At 51.7% G+C, this 12,279-nt stretch overlaps 1 protein-coding gene across 29 annotated transcripts in view, besides 1 other annotated feature; it reads left to right on the top strand.

Annotated features, from left to right (window-relative positions):
• The window catches only part of NTRK3 (neurotrophic receptor tyrosine kinase 3), a 396,989-nt gene that overhangs the window by 4,030 nt on the left and 380,680 nt on the right, over positions 1 to 12,279 (top strand). For 2 of the 29 annotated variants that reach the window (XM_017022244.3, XM_017022245.3), the window contains exon 1: positions 96 to 187. The gene's annotated coding sequence lies outside the window, so the exon portion shown is untranslated. 29 annotated transcript variants of the gene reach the window in all.
• Positions 11,107 to 11,608: an enhancer, noted in NCBI's record as "H3K4me1 hESC enhancer chr15:88784333-88784834 (GRCh37/hg19 assembly coordinates)". NCBI's record gives its function as "activates a minimal SCP1, AML or CMV promoter by ChIP-STARR-seq in primed H9 embryonic stem cells {active_cell/tissue: H9 hESC(primed)}" and the evidence as "EXISTENCE:reporter gene assay evidence [ECO:0000049][PMID:30033119]".

Raw genomic sequence — 12,279 nt, 5'->3', positions numbered from 1 at the left:
CTGGAAGGGTCCATGCGCAGCCACACCCAACCAGGCTGTGACGTCACAAAGGCAGGAGGGTGGTGGCCATGGTGGACTGTCTGGGCCGCTTTGCTAGGCCAGGCCTACCTGGGGCTGGGTTGGAGTGGTATGGTCTTTAGCTGTTAGAAAGAAGATGAAGTGGGAGAGGATGGCATGGCTGGACCAGGTATGCTTGGGGCTGGCTACCTCGGCTTGCAAAGACCACGGGCTCTTAGCTGGGACTCTGAGTCGCCAGCTGGGTCTCACTCTGAGCCGCCACAGGGTCCCTGGCATTTGGCAGCTCTCTGGTCCCTTCATTTCCATGGCCCTCCCTGAAGGCCCTCTTCTGGCTGGCTGAAGGATCATTCGGGGCTTTGGCCGTCATGTTGGCTCCTGAGTCTCATTCTTTCTAAGGATCAAGGGGAGACCCAGCCTTGACAATGACCCAGCAGGGTATGAGCCAGGCCCCAAAGGCATCATGGGGCTCACTCTCGGTAGGCACAGTTTGGTGCTCAGAACCCCAGGATTAGGACTAGGTCTGAGAGAGGTGGGCAGAAATGTGAGGGGCTGTTGACATGAGATTTGGAAGCAGGAGTAGTTACAGCCCCAGAGAAAGGTACTTCCAGGATCAAACCTGGAGACCTTGGTCTCCTGAGGCCCTGGGGTTTTCCACCAAGGAAAGGCTATTGGTGGCTCCAGAGCCAAGACCCCCTGCCCCAGGAAGCCCAGCAGGTCAAGCTTCTGTCATACACCCTGGGGCCAAGGGCATCTGCTCTGCACCTCCATGGGACCTGAGGCCATGACAGCTTTGGGCAAAAACCAGCCCAACCTGGCCACTGCTTTGAAAGTCCTCATCTACTGGCCCCAGGAAGGCTAAGCCTGCAACCTGGAAGGTTCCTTAGGGTCCTAGAAGGCTCCTACTACCCTCCTGCCTGGCTGAACAGGAGGTGCTGCTGTGAGAAAGGGAGGGCCTGTCCTTGCCTTGCCAGTCCCTGCCAGCTGCTGCTTCTGTCCAACTCTGTAGAAGGACCAGGGCCCCAACTCAGCTGGCTCTTGGGTGGGTGTGGGTAGCCTGAGGCCCTCCTTTGGTATGGCCCTTGCCAATATCACGGCATTTCCACTGTGGCCTGGGTCCCCATCCCATGTGCTCCCATGGGTGGCTTGCACAGAAGTCATAGGCATGGTCTCCAGCCTCCCCTCGGGGCCTCCAGTTGGCTGGTGGCAGAGAAAGGGATGGATCATGTGAATCCCACCTTGGCTCTGCCCCTAACTCCCTGTGAGCTCCATCAGGGCACTCTAGACTTTCAGAGCCTGTAAATTCAACTATGAATTGAGGCCGCAGGGCAGAGTGTTTCTTCCAACTTGGACATATGTCATCTCAGGGCCCAGAGAACTTCCCCCAGGAGGCTCGGCCACGCCACTTTTAAGGGCATCTCCTGGGGATGGCAGTGATCCTTGTGATGGTGCCAGGAGGAGGTGCACTCCCTCACTGACCTTGGGACAGTGGTTATTCTCCTCTTCCTTCCCTTCCCACCTCTAGCAAACTCAGGCCACCCAGAATTTGACACCATTTGTGACACATGACACTATTTAGAGTCAACTGCCCAGACCAAATGGCATATTTAACAAGAATGTGCTGGGGCCTGCAGCCTCTCATTAGGGCCTGGACACCCAGCTTCGTGACTCCCCATCTGCACCCTGGGCTCAGGGCCAGGAAAAGATGTTCTTTTGCAAAGCTTTCAGCCCATTGCTGGAGCACAGCTCTCCACTGGGTGTGAGAAGAAAACACTGGAACTTCTATTGCAAATTATTTTTGCCTAGAAAAGAGGATATTTCATATTTAATGTATAGATAATAGATATATAAACATATAAAGTAATAAATATGAGTGTTTGGGGTTTATAAAATAAACTTTTTGATTGCTAAATCATGCATGATCAATACAGCTTGGTACCCACTGCTCTTGTGATTGGGAGGGTTGGCACTTGAGAAGGAGACAGGGTGGTGACAGAAGAGGTGGTCCTGAAGCCCCTGGCTCTCTCTTGGTGCTGGGCCAAGGAACGGTTGATTAATAGGGGGGTATGGTTAATGTGAGGAGGGAATAAGCTGGGTGGGGTGGAGGATCTCAGTTCCGGATCAGAGTTCCCAAGGCCCAAAAGCCCCCTCGCAGGGGCCAGGCCAGCTCTTATGAAACGATGGTCTAGTGCCTACTGGGATCCTACCTTCTTATCCTTGTGTAGCAAATTCTTCATCTCCACGAATGCCCCCATCAGTCATATCATTATTTTTAGTTTACAATTGTTGAGTTTATTTTTGTGACAGTTGCTTGGCATATAAAAGCAGAGCTTAACAGTCCCATTTTACAGATCAAGAAAACAAAATAAAGAACAAATCTAGTGTCCCAGGTGGTCATGTTGTCATAGCTCACAAATGGAAAAGTCCAGAGGCTCTCAGGAGTCTGTGGTTCTTCTGGGGCTTCTCTTACCAGCTTGTGGGTCCCCTTGGCTCTGTTCTTTCTTGGGCGTGGCCCTTTCAGCCAGACATTAGGACTACGCCTGAGAGAGGAAGACAGAAATGTGAGGGGCTATTGACATGAGATTTGGAAGCGGGAATACTTACGGCCCCAGAGAAAGATACTTCCAGGATCAAACCTGGGGACCTTGGTCTCCTGAGGCCCTGGGGTTTGGCTTGTTGGGAAGGAAGGTGCAGAGCATTTTCATCTAGGAAGTTTTTTTCCACCCAAAGGGCAGCATTGCGGGAATGACCCATCTTTGAGGGACTTGCAAAGGGCGGCTGAGTGTTCAGCAACTGGTCAAAGAGTGGCCCAGATAGAGGCTGGACTCAGTCACTCAGATGCTGGTGATGAACTGAGTGATCAGCTCATGTCATTTGTCATTCTATGAACCTCGTTGACCTCAACTTTGAGGAACACAAATCCTCCTGGTGGCCCGGTGTGTTGGAAGCTGCTCGTTGATGGGTTGGGTCATAAGGAGTGAAGACTCCAGTGAGGCTAACACCAAAGCTCAGGGCCCAGTGGAGTCCTGAGAACCCCCAAGGAGGCTCTTCCCATTTCCGCCGCCTCTAAGTGCAGGGCTTACCAGAATTCAAAGCTGGAAAGGACCACTGCAGTCATCTTCTCCCTCATGTCACCCATGAGGGTCCAAGGGCCCAGAGTGGGCAGGGACTCAGCCGGGGTCCCTGGGTCGCTCGAAGACTTCTCTTCCCGGGCACACTCCCAGGTGCTGGGGCCGCCTTCTACTCAGTGCTGGCTCTTGTTCTGGGCACTTTGTCAAAGCCAGAGCCTCCCCCATGACTGTGTCTCCCTCTGAGGCAATGTTTCCAAATTCAGGGTCCCCAGAGGCAGCAACTATGTGAGACTGGCAGCCCCAGAGCTCTTTGCAGCTTGCAGCCCACACCAATTAGAAATCAACTCGATGAGGCCTTCTGCTGAGCTCTGTTCACATACAGGGCTGGGGAACCTGGGGCTCAGCAGACTTGGGAGCCTGTCCTTTTCCCCTGGCCTCACCTCTGCCCCCAGTCCTCCTGCCTGGCTTGTCCCATCATAAGTGTCCCAGAGTCTGGGTGGTGGGAGATTCAGGATTCCTTCCCCAGACACGCATCATCAAGCATGGAGGACTCTGGCAGCTGCTCTTTTCCTAAGCCCAGTTTTCCCAGCAGCTCCTCCAGGCATGGCCTCTCCCTAGCTTTGAACAAATCCCTTTCCTCCTCTGGGTCTCAATTTCCTTATCTATAAGAAATGGATAATAATAACAACTACATTATGTAAGCACCCTGTTGAAGTTCAGTGCCCTGGGTCATGTCTGGCTAAGAGAAATCTGTCTATACATAACTAGTGACAGCTAGCATCTACTGAGTACATGATAACAATCGTTAGCGTTTCTGAAACACTTACTATGTTCTAGACACTGTGCCAAGCACTCTAAGGCTAATACCTCATTGCAGCCTCACATCAACCCCAATAAGATAAGTACTATTATTAGCCTCATTTTCCAGATGGGGAAACTGAGTGCAGAGAAGGAACTTAACTCACTTAATTTCATGCAGCCAGTAAATGGGAAAGCAGTCTGGCATTTAAATATTAAGCTATACTGCCTATGCTCTTTTGCAATACTCTTATGCATACTAGCATACACATATATATGCACACATGCACACACACACACACACACACAAATATATTACTATTAAGTTAAAAATAAATAAAAGAGTTGATGTAAAAGTCTAGGAGAATCATTTAGTTTACAACATTTCAGTTACTTGGGTGGGAGTTACCCTGGCTGGGATATAAGGGGAAGGCACATAGGATAATTATGGGTGTAGTATTGGCCAAACAGTGTGGCCAACACTGTCCCAGGCAGGCCTCTTAGTAGTGGGGGAGGCTTTTGGTCTCTCCTTCTGACCTGTTCCCAACAGGGAGTTTCTCCTGAAGTTGTGTCTCAGCCACACCCTCTTCCCAGGCCTCCTCATCCACCCCATGATGTCCTGGCCTCTGAGGTCAGGTCAGCCCGCAGCAGAACAGGTGCCAGCTGAGGCTGGCTGAGATTCAGAAAGCTGGTGGCTGGGTCCCAGCCAGCTCCTCTCTGGGCTGAGCCGTGGTCAGCAGGACTATGCCCCTGGTGCTCATGGCCAGCGAGAGCCTGGATGGGAGAGCAGAGGGCTGAGTGGCTTCTCCCAGGTAGAGCTTTGGGGTGCCAGGAGCATTTCTGGGTGCAGAGCAAAAGGGGGGTGTCTAAAGCGCTGGGCAGCTGGAGCTGGAAGCTGATGTTTAGAGCTTCTTTCTGCGTCCTTCCCTGGTCCTCTCCACAATAAGCAGCCTTTATCCCCCCGCGACCTTACCCCGCCTCTCTACCTTCATTGCTCATGGAAGCTCCATCTCTCTCTCCATAGGGATGAGCTCTTAGTGTGGGAGACAGATACAACTTTCTTCTGTGAAACAGCCGAAACTGTGGGGCAGGGTTTGGTGCATTTTCCACGTTTGCTGCTTCTTGGCTGTGTGAGCTTGCTTCATGATCGCTCAGCCACTGGCCTCGCACTTCTGAGAGCTGAGGTCATGGAACTCTCCAGCCCGGCACCCCCGTAGGGTCACTGTCATGTTCAGACCTATGCAATGATGTATTCGCTAGGCTCTGTAAATAATTGGGCACCACGTTGGTTATTTCCTTTTCTAGACTACTGGGAAGATTTCTGAGTTAGAGAGAAGATCAAGACTTTGAACCATAAATTACTAGATCTGGAAAGGGCCTCAGAAAATGTTGGGGCCAAACACTGTTTTACAGAGAAAGAACTTAGGAATCAAGAGAGGTGAATTGATTTGGCCCAATCGCCCAGTGAGTTCCTGGCACAAGGCAGCCCAGAACGAAGGGCCCTGCCTCGCTAGCTGGTGTGGGTCTCCATCCGCCTGTTGGTGTCTGCTCTGGGACTGAGGGGTTCGGGCTTTTACAGGCAGGCGGGGAAAGGAGCTCTTAGAGTGCTGCAGAGAAGAGGAGAACACGAAGGGAGCAATAGTAGCTTCGAAGTCCTAAACCCGGCTACCTGCCGCGGGAAACAGGGCTGCGTGCGTGTATCTGGGGGAGTCTTGGCACAGGCACAAGTGCGTCTCTTCTGTGTTCTGTGCACATCGTGTCTGAGGTCTCTGTAAACAGACCTTAAAAGATTTTGGCTTCCCTCTGCGGCTACACTCCTGGTGGCCACCAGAGGGCAGTGTGGCGCACGAGACGGTCCTGGGCTGATGGCTTCCCAGGGCGGGAGCCGGGCGTGTGGCGCTAGCCTGGTGAGAAGTGCACTGTCAGCCCTGGCTTTCAGAGCATTTCCTGAGCCAGGGCTGAGCAGAGAGGTCAGCTCTCCTCTATGAGGGGCATCTCTCCGCCGAGATGACCCTGCTTCCATTGTATCTCTGCAGTCCAGGGATGTGAGACTCCAGGACCCGGACTTTCTGACTCATGAGCCTTTGGCTTCCTGGGAAGGAGGTGGCTGGGCGAGTGCATTGGATGGAGGAAAGCCACCTGGTGTGCTCTCCTTCCAGCCTTCTCTCAGCAGCAGCAGGAGAGATCAGCACATTTGCACAGAGGGTAATGGGGTGAATGCATGGAAGGTAGCCCAGGAAGACCCACAGGCTTAATAGAGAAGTTGACAGATAGTTTCACTGTGGGGCTAGTATCATGGAGGAAGCGAGCTTTATACAGGCTCTCAGGCTGTCTGATGCCCTGGCTGAAGTGTGGGGGAATCTCTCCCCTCTCCCTGCCCCCACCAACCCAAGCTTGGAAATTACCGGACGACAAGTAGTGCTCAGAAAATAGCAGGTCCTGGCATTGACTAGAGATGAGAGCTTGGCGCCTTCTCTTAACCTCTGCAGATCCCGTGTCTGCTTTAGGAGATAACCATACACAGAGGTGGCTACGAAAGTGCCTTGCAAACCAGGGCCATGGGCCCTGCCTGGACTGGCTGGTTTTGACAGTGCTTCTGAGAGTATCGTTGGCTCGTCTGTCTGTTCCAGGCAGTCTTGTATTTGAGCAGGTGCTGTCTTGTTCCATGCACAAATGAGTGTCCTCCTACTAACAAGGTTATCAGCTTTAGAGACAGGGTCTGCTGCTTTTGGGGTGGGTGTGGAGCTCTCTGGTCTGGGGCCTGTGACTCTTTCTTGAGGGTCTGCTCCCAGCTTCCTGACCTGGGGCTGCAGGCAGTGTTCTCTCTGTTGTGGTCCATCTTTCCCCACTTCCTTATTTCTGATAGCTTTTCAAATCTGGTCCACTGAAGAGAAGGAAAGAAGCTGACATTATCCCTTCTACTGGGCCAGAGATCATTTACATATACAACCCTAATTATTTATGGCAACGACTAAATGAAGCTTTAGATCATGACTCTGCCTCTTACATCCTGAGACCCTGGGCTGGCTACTTGACCTTGTTGATCCTCAGTTTTCTCATATGAAAATAATAAACATAAGGCAGGACTATTATAAGATTTCAATGAGCACGTGTGTGTGTGTGTGTGTAAAACTATTTTCTCTGTCTTCCTATTACTACACCCCAGAACCTCATCCCCACAAGCATAGATACTTTTTATAGCCCTCATCTGTTCTTCTTGCTTCCAGTCTCTCCGCCTCTAGCTCATTTTCCACACCCTAACAGATTAATCTTCTAATCCAGGGTATTTGGTTAGACCAATTCCTGCATCCCGAACTTTTCATGGTCCCTTTGTCTGAGAGGTGGCATGGTGTAGTGGGAAGAGTAGAGGCTTCTTTGGTCAAAAAACTCAGTTTAAATCCTGGCTCTGCCCTGGTATAGGCTTAGGCACATTACTTAACTTTTCTGAGCCTCAGTTTCCTCATCTGAAAAATCTGGTTAGCTATACCCATCTAATAGAGAGGTTGTGAGGGTTGAATGAGATTATGGTAGGTGCCTGGCATGTGATGGCTCCACAGAAGCCAAGCTGGTGAGCAGTCCACAGGAGTCTGTAAGAGGTGATGGGCAGTGACATTTCCAGGTCCTTGAAGAATGGGATTAGAGGAAGTTGCATGAGGGAACTAGCATGTGGACAAAGCTGACGGAGGCAAGAGAAGGACTAAGATGGCATGTATTTGGAAAAAGGGACACAGTGGCTGAGGTACATGCCTTCCACAGGGACAGGGAGATTGTTATGGCTCCTGCTAAGGGACTCCTTTGGAATACCAAGTGTCAGAGTGTCCCAGGCAAAGCCTTTAACTACCTGCCTTCCCCACTCTGCAGCCCCAGAAATCTGGATGCCAGAAATCTCTATCTAGGGTAATTTAGTAGCATCTAGCTTCTTGCAGATGTTGTCCCAAGTGGTTTTATTGCTATTCTTGCCTTACATAGCTTCCCATTCACTAGCTGATTCCCTCTTGGCTATTGTAATCCAATAAGTCTGTCTGAAGAGGGGGCTTCAGGACCATCCCTGGTAGAAAGAATTTAGGAATCCAATGGGATAGGATGACCTAAAATCCTTTCAATCCACTCATGAGAGCCTCCCATGGACATTCATCCCAGTTCCATATAAAGCCACAAGAGGGCACTAGACCATGATTTCTGCAGGGAGGGAAGGGCTGTTGAGCCTGTCCTGATGTGATTTGTACCTTTGATGAAAGTCTGAGCCCCACTTGGTTTTTTCCCAGGTGCCATCTTCTCTGGGGTCATGGCAAACCAGCTTGATTCAGCCAGAGCCCATAGCACTGAGACTGATAGCTCAAGGGAGGCTAAATTGTGTAGTAAAAAGGTCATGGAATTTGGCATCTGTCTCAGGTTCCAATCCTTGCCCTCCTCCTTGCTTGCTTTTTTAAACTGTGAGCACGTTATTTAATTTTTCTCTGCCTCATTTTCTTCCCCTGCAAAGTAAGATGTTATTGGGAGAGTTGCTATGAGATGGTGTTGTGAGGATTAAAATACATGATGTGGGGACAGCATCTGGAACATGATAGAACAGCATCTGGAGCAGCATCTGGAACATGGTTGGCCATCTATCTCTTTCTGGGAGAAATATGAAGTTAGGTCACACCCAGGAGATATGTATGAGATCCCCTTGGCCTGCTGGGGTCATTTTACCCCCTACTGAACGCTCTATGGTTCCAATTCATGGGGGGGCAGCAGTGACACCCAGTGGCTGGCATGGAGAACAGCAAGTGTATTCTGATCTTGCAGGTGGTGTGGTGGGGATTGTCCAGGCCAGGTCAGACTGAGTCAGGGTTAGTGGATATTGGCTTCAGAGGTTTCATTAGCAGAATTTCTCCCCTTCAACTGCTAGGTGCTAAAGATATTTTTTTTCTGAGGGCATTCATGTGATGATGGCTATTAGGGATGTTTCTTGCTGGGGCCCACAGTACGAAGTCACAACTGGAGAAACCACATGGGCAACTGACTAAGTTGATTGTGATGAAACAATCCTGGCACCTAAAAACCAGAGCCTTTCTGGTGTTTTCCTGGGGCACCACTCTTTTTGACATGCTTTCATACAGTCTATCTGGTTGGCCTTAGCCAAGAGACTCCAGATCTCTGAACCTCAGTTTGTTTACCTGGGAAATGTAGGGGTTGGTCTGGTTGACAAAAAAGCCTCTTTTAGCTTAAATTTGAGTGTCAGACATGATTGAATACCTTTTGCTCAGTGTGTGTGTGTGTGTGTGTGTGTGTGTGTGTGTGTGTGTGCATGCTATGGGGGATGGGATCAAGTGAGAAGCAGGGGTAGGGGTCACTGCTAAGCTTTGGGCTTTACTGGTGAAGAAACTCCAGCCTCCTCTCAGCAGAGGAGTAGCTCTGAGGCTGGTTTGGGGTGACCCTGGCTCTCATCCTTGCAGCCTCTTCATTTCTCCACCTGAGATCCAGGAGGGAGCGTTGGCAGACGGGCCAGGCTCAGGAAGTTATTTAATATCAGCTTTGCTCCAGATTGTGTTTCTGACTCCCTGCCACCTCTTAAGTGGCAGTCATTTGAACAAATGTGGCGATAAGACACAGAGAGGGAAATAACATAAGAAGTGGGGAGGGGGCAAGGGCGTGGAGGAGGGGTGCAATTTTATTCTCTTGGCAGAAACCTTGTCTTTGAGGCACTCAGGAGCAAGAAAGAAATGGAAGAGGAGTTCAGCTCAGGGCTCCTCAAAGTCCCTGGTGTTGAAGGAAGAGGGTGGAAAGAAGGGCCTAATTTTTAGGGCCTGCAGCTGCAGCTCCTCCTCCTCCGTGGGAGGGCCCTATGGCCTATGGGGACTTCTGGCTCCCATCCCTAGGGCAGGTGTTGGAGGGGCGGCCTCATATTCTGTTTTCCAAAGGACTGTCTTCCAAGTGCATAACAGACAGCTAATGGGGGCCTGGCATTGGCGGTGTGTGCAGCCCACAGTGAATGCTGAGCTGCATCTGTACCTAGGCTGTGGGGTGCCCAGGTGTCTGGCCGCCTGCCTTGCTGTTTGCCAAAGCCCATCCTAGCATCTGGACTGTTGGGGAAGAATGAGCAGATGCGCTAGCAGGGCCAGCCTGGCTCTTCCTTCTGTGGGACCCAAAGAGGAGGAGAGTCTACCCCCTTTCATCCTAGCGCCTAGCACCAGCTGTGGGCCAGACCCATGCTGAGCCCTGGGGCACAGCCTTGACAAAATAAAAGACCGTGATACTTCCTTCTTGGAGCTACAGGTGAATGGAGGGAGGCAGGTATTAGACAAATGATCTACAGCTCAAAGGGTTATCTCAAGAGAAGCGGGGGCAGAATTTTAGAAAACGGATCTAATGTAAAGTTTAAAGAAAAATTTATATATATGAAAATGTGGCTTCCCTAAGGTGGAGAGGGTGCAATTTTCCTAAATGGAGTTTTGAAAATTCTAGATTTACCTGCTCCCAGGTGTACTGAATGTGATAACAGTAGAGTGAGTTGTCAAGACTGTGCCCCCTGGCTGGGAAGTTGATTCATTGGCCTTGCTGTTGCTCACAGAGGCCCCACGCGGAAAGGCAAGAGAAGCGAGTTTCATTTCTTTCCCTGTCACTCTGCCTGTGTGAGATGAAGATTTGGGCTGTGGGTAGTTTATTTGGAAGGTGACCCCAGGAAGCCTGGGAGGGAGAGCGGAAGTGAGACAGGGAGGGAGGAAAGCCACGCATCAGTGTGTCCATGCGCAGGTGGCTACGTGCTCTTCCCAGGCAACCGTTCATTCGTTTCTCTATTTGTGCATTTATCCAACGTGGGTTTATTGGAGAGTCTCTGATGGGCCAGCCACTTGGGAGAGCTGGGAAAGCCGTGGAGAGCAGGACCCCTGAGGTCTCCATTGTCCCTAGGTCTCCATTGTCGTTCTAGGATGTGTGCAGCCGAGCAGCAACTCTCCTGGCCTCTCCCTGCACCTGGAAATCGACCTCTGGAGAGGGGAGGTGGGCCAAGCTTTGCTGAGAGTGCACGGCAGATTCCGTCCATTCCCGGGGCCATGTTCTCGGCAGAAAAGTCAGAGGGCTGTGGATATAGGGCAGCCCTTCTCCCCAGTGCGCTGGGTGGAGGTGAGCCTGGGTGAGGCGAGGTGCAGGTCAGATGAAGAGAGTAGCTCCACGTGGTATTGAAGGGTAGCCCCGCTTCCTGCTCCCAGCACCCAGCTGGCATTCTGCCCAACCAGCGGCTGACCTGCCCCATGCCCCCTGCTCCTAGGTGAGACTGACCAGGGCACACCCTCCCTCCTCCTTTCCAGCCCAGAGCAGCTCCCTGGGCCCTGGGGAAGCAGAAGTGGCAGGAGAGTGACCTCATGACTCCCTGATTTGCATCTAGGGTTCATTTTCCGGGGTCATGTTCTGTCTCCCTGGAAATGATTGGTTGCTCTTCCCTGCGCCCATCACCCCCATCCCTGAGCTGCAGGCTGTGTCTCCCATCCAGGTGACTGACATCCCCCTGCCCTCCTTCTGTCACTCACTCAGGACTGCTGTTGCCTGCTGTCTGGGCAGGCATGCTCTGACCTTGAGGCCCCACCCTGCTGCCCTCTACTGCCCTCTATGTTCTTACCTGCCCAGGAGGTCACTGAACAGAAGAGGGCGGCACAGCTAGTGTCTCAGTCCAGCTGACACCCTCGGGAGCCCCACGATGTGTCCTATATGGCATTAGCTTGTTAATGTTCCTGTTTCCTCACTGTGTGGTGAGCTCCTGAAGGCTGGCATTGAGGCTTATTCAGCTCTGTCCCCAAGAGCCCCCACCTAGTAGGTGTTCAGTAAAGACCTGTGGACTGTAACAGGCTCATTTCCTGCACCAGAATGTCCCCCAGGCCCACAGCAACCCTCCCAGCTTGCTGAGGGCACACATGCCTCCATGCAGAATGCTGGGCACACCATTCTCATTGCTCTCCACACCTTTGTGGGCCTCGGGCTTTGCCCTTAGCAGGGCAGCCCGTTGGAGGAATCTTCTAGAGAAAACTGAGCTCATCACAGTGACAGCAAATGCTGTGTGATGACTGCTCTGGGGGCTCCTTTAAGGGGACTTTTATTTTAACCCGCTTCCATTCTCAGCACAGTGACATGGCAGGTCCCACGATCATCCTCATTTTACAGGGGAGAAAACTGAGGCACAGGGTGGCTAAGTAGCTTGCCCTAGGTGGTTCTGCTAGGAAGTGGCAGAGCTGAGGTTTGTCTCCAGAGCCAGGGGGGCAGCCCTGTATTACAGACCCCTTTCCATTTCCTGCCAGCCCCAGCCTCCTCCACAGTAAGCAGGCACCCTTGGGCCGACAGGACACATGACGTGCTGTTTTGGTGGTAAGGAGGGTGGGGTAGAAGGGGCCCTTGGGACTCAGTGGAGTTTGAGATCCTTGAG

This window comes from Homo sapiens, chromosome 15 (genome assembly GCF_000001405.40).
Source record: "Homo sapiens chromosome 15, GRCh38.p14 Primary Assembly".
NCBI classification, from domain to species: domain Eukaryota; kingdom Metazoa; phylum Chordata; class Mammalia; order Primates; family Hominidae; genus Homo; species Homo sapiens.
Note: the sequence above shows the minus strand (reverse complement) of the source record. Positions and strands in the feature narration are given on the sequence as shown.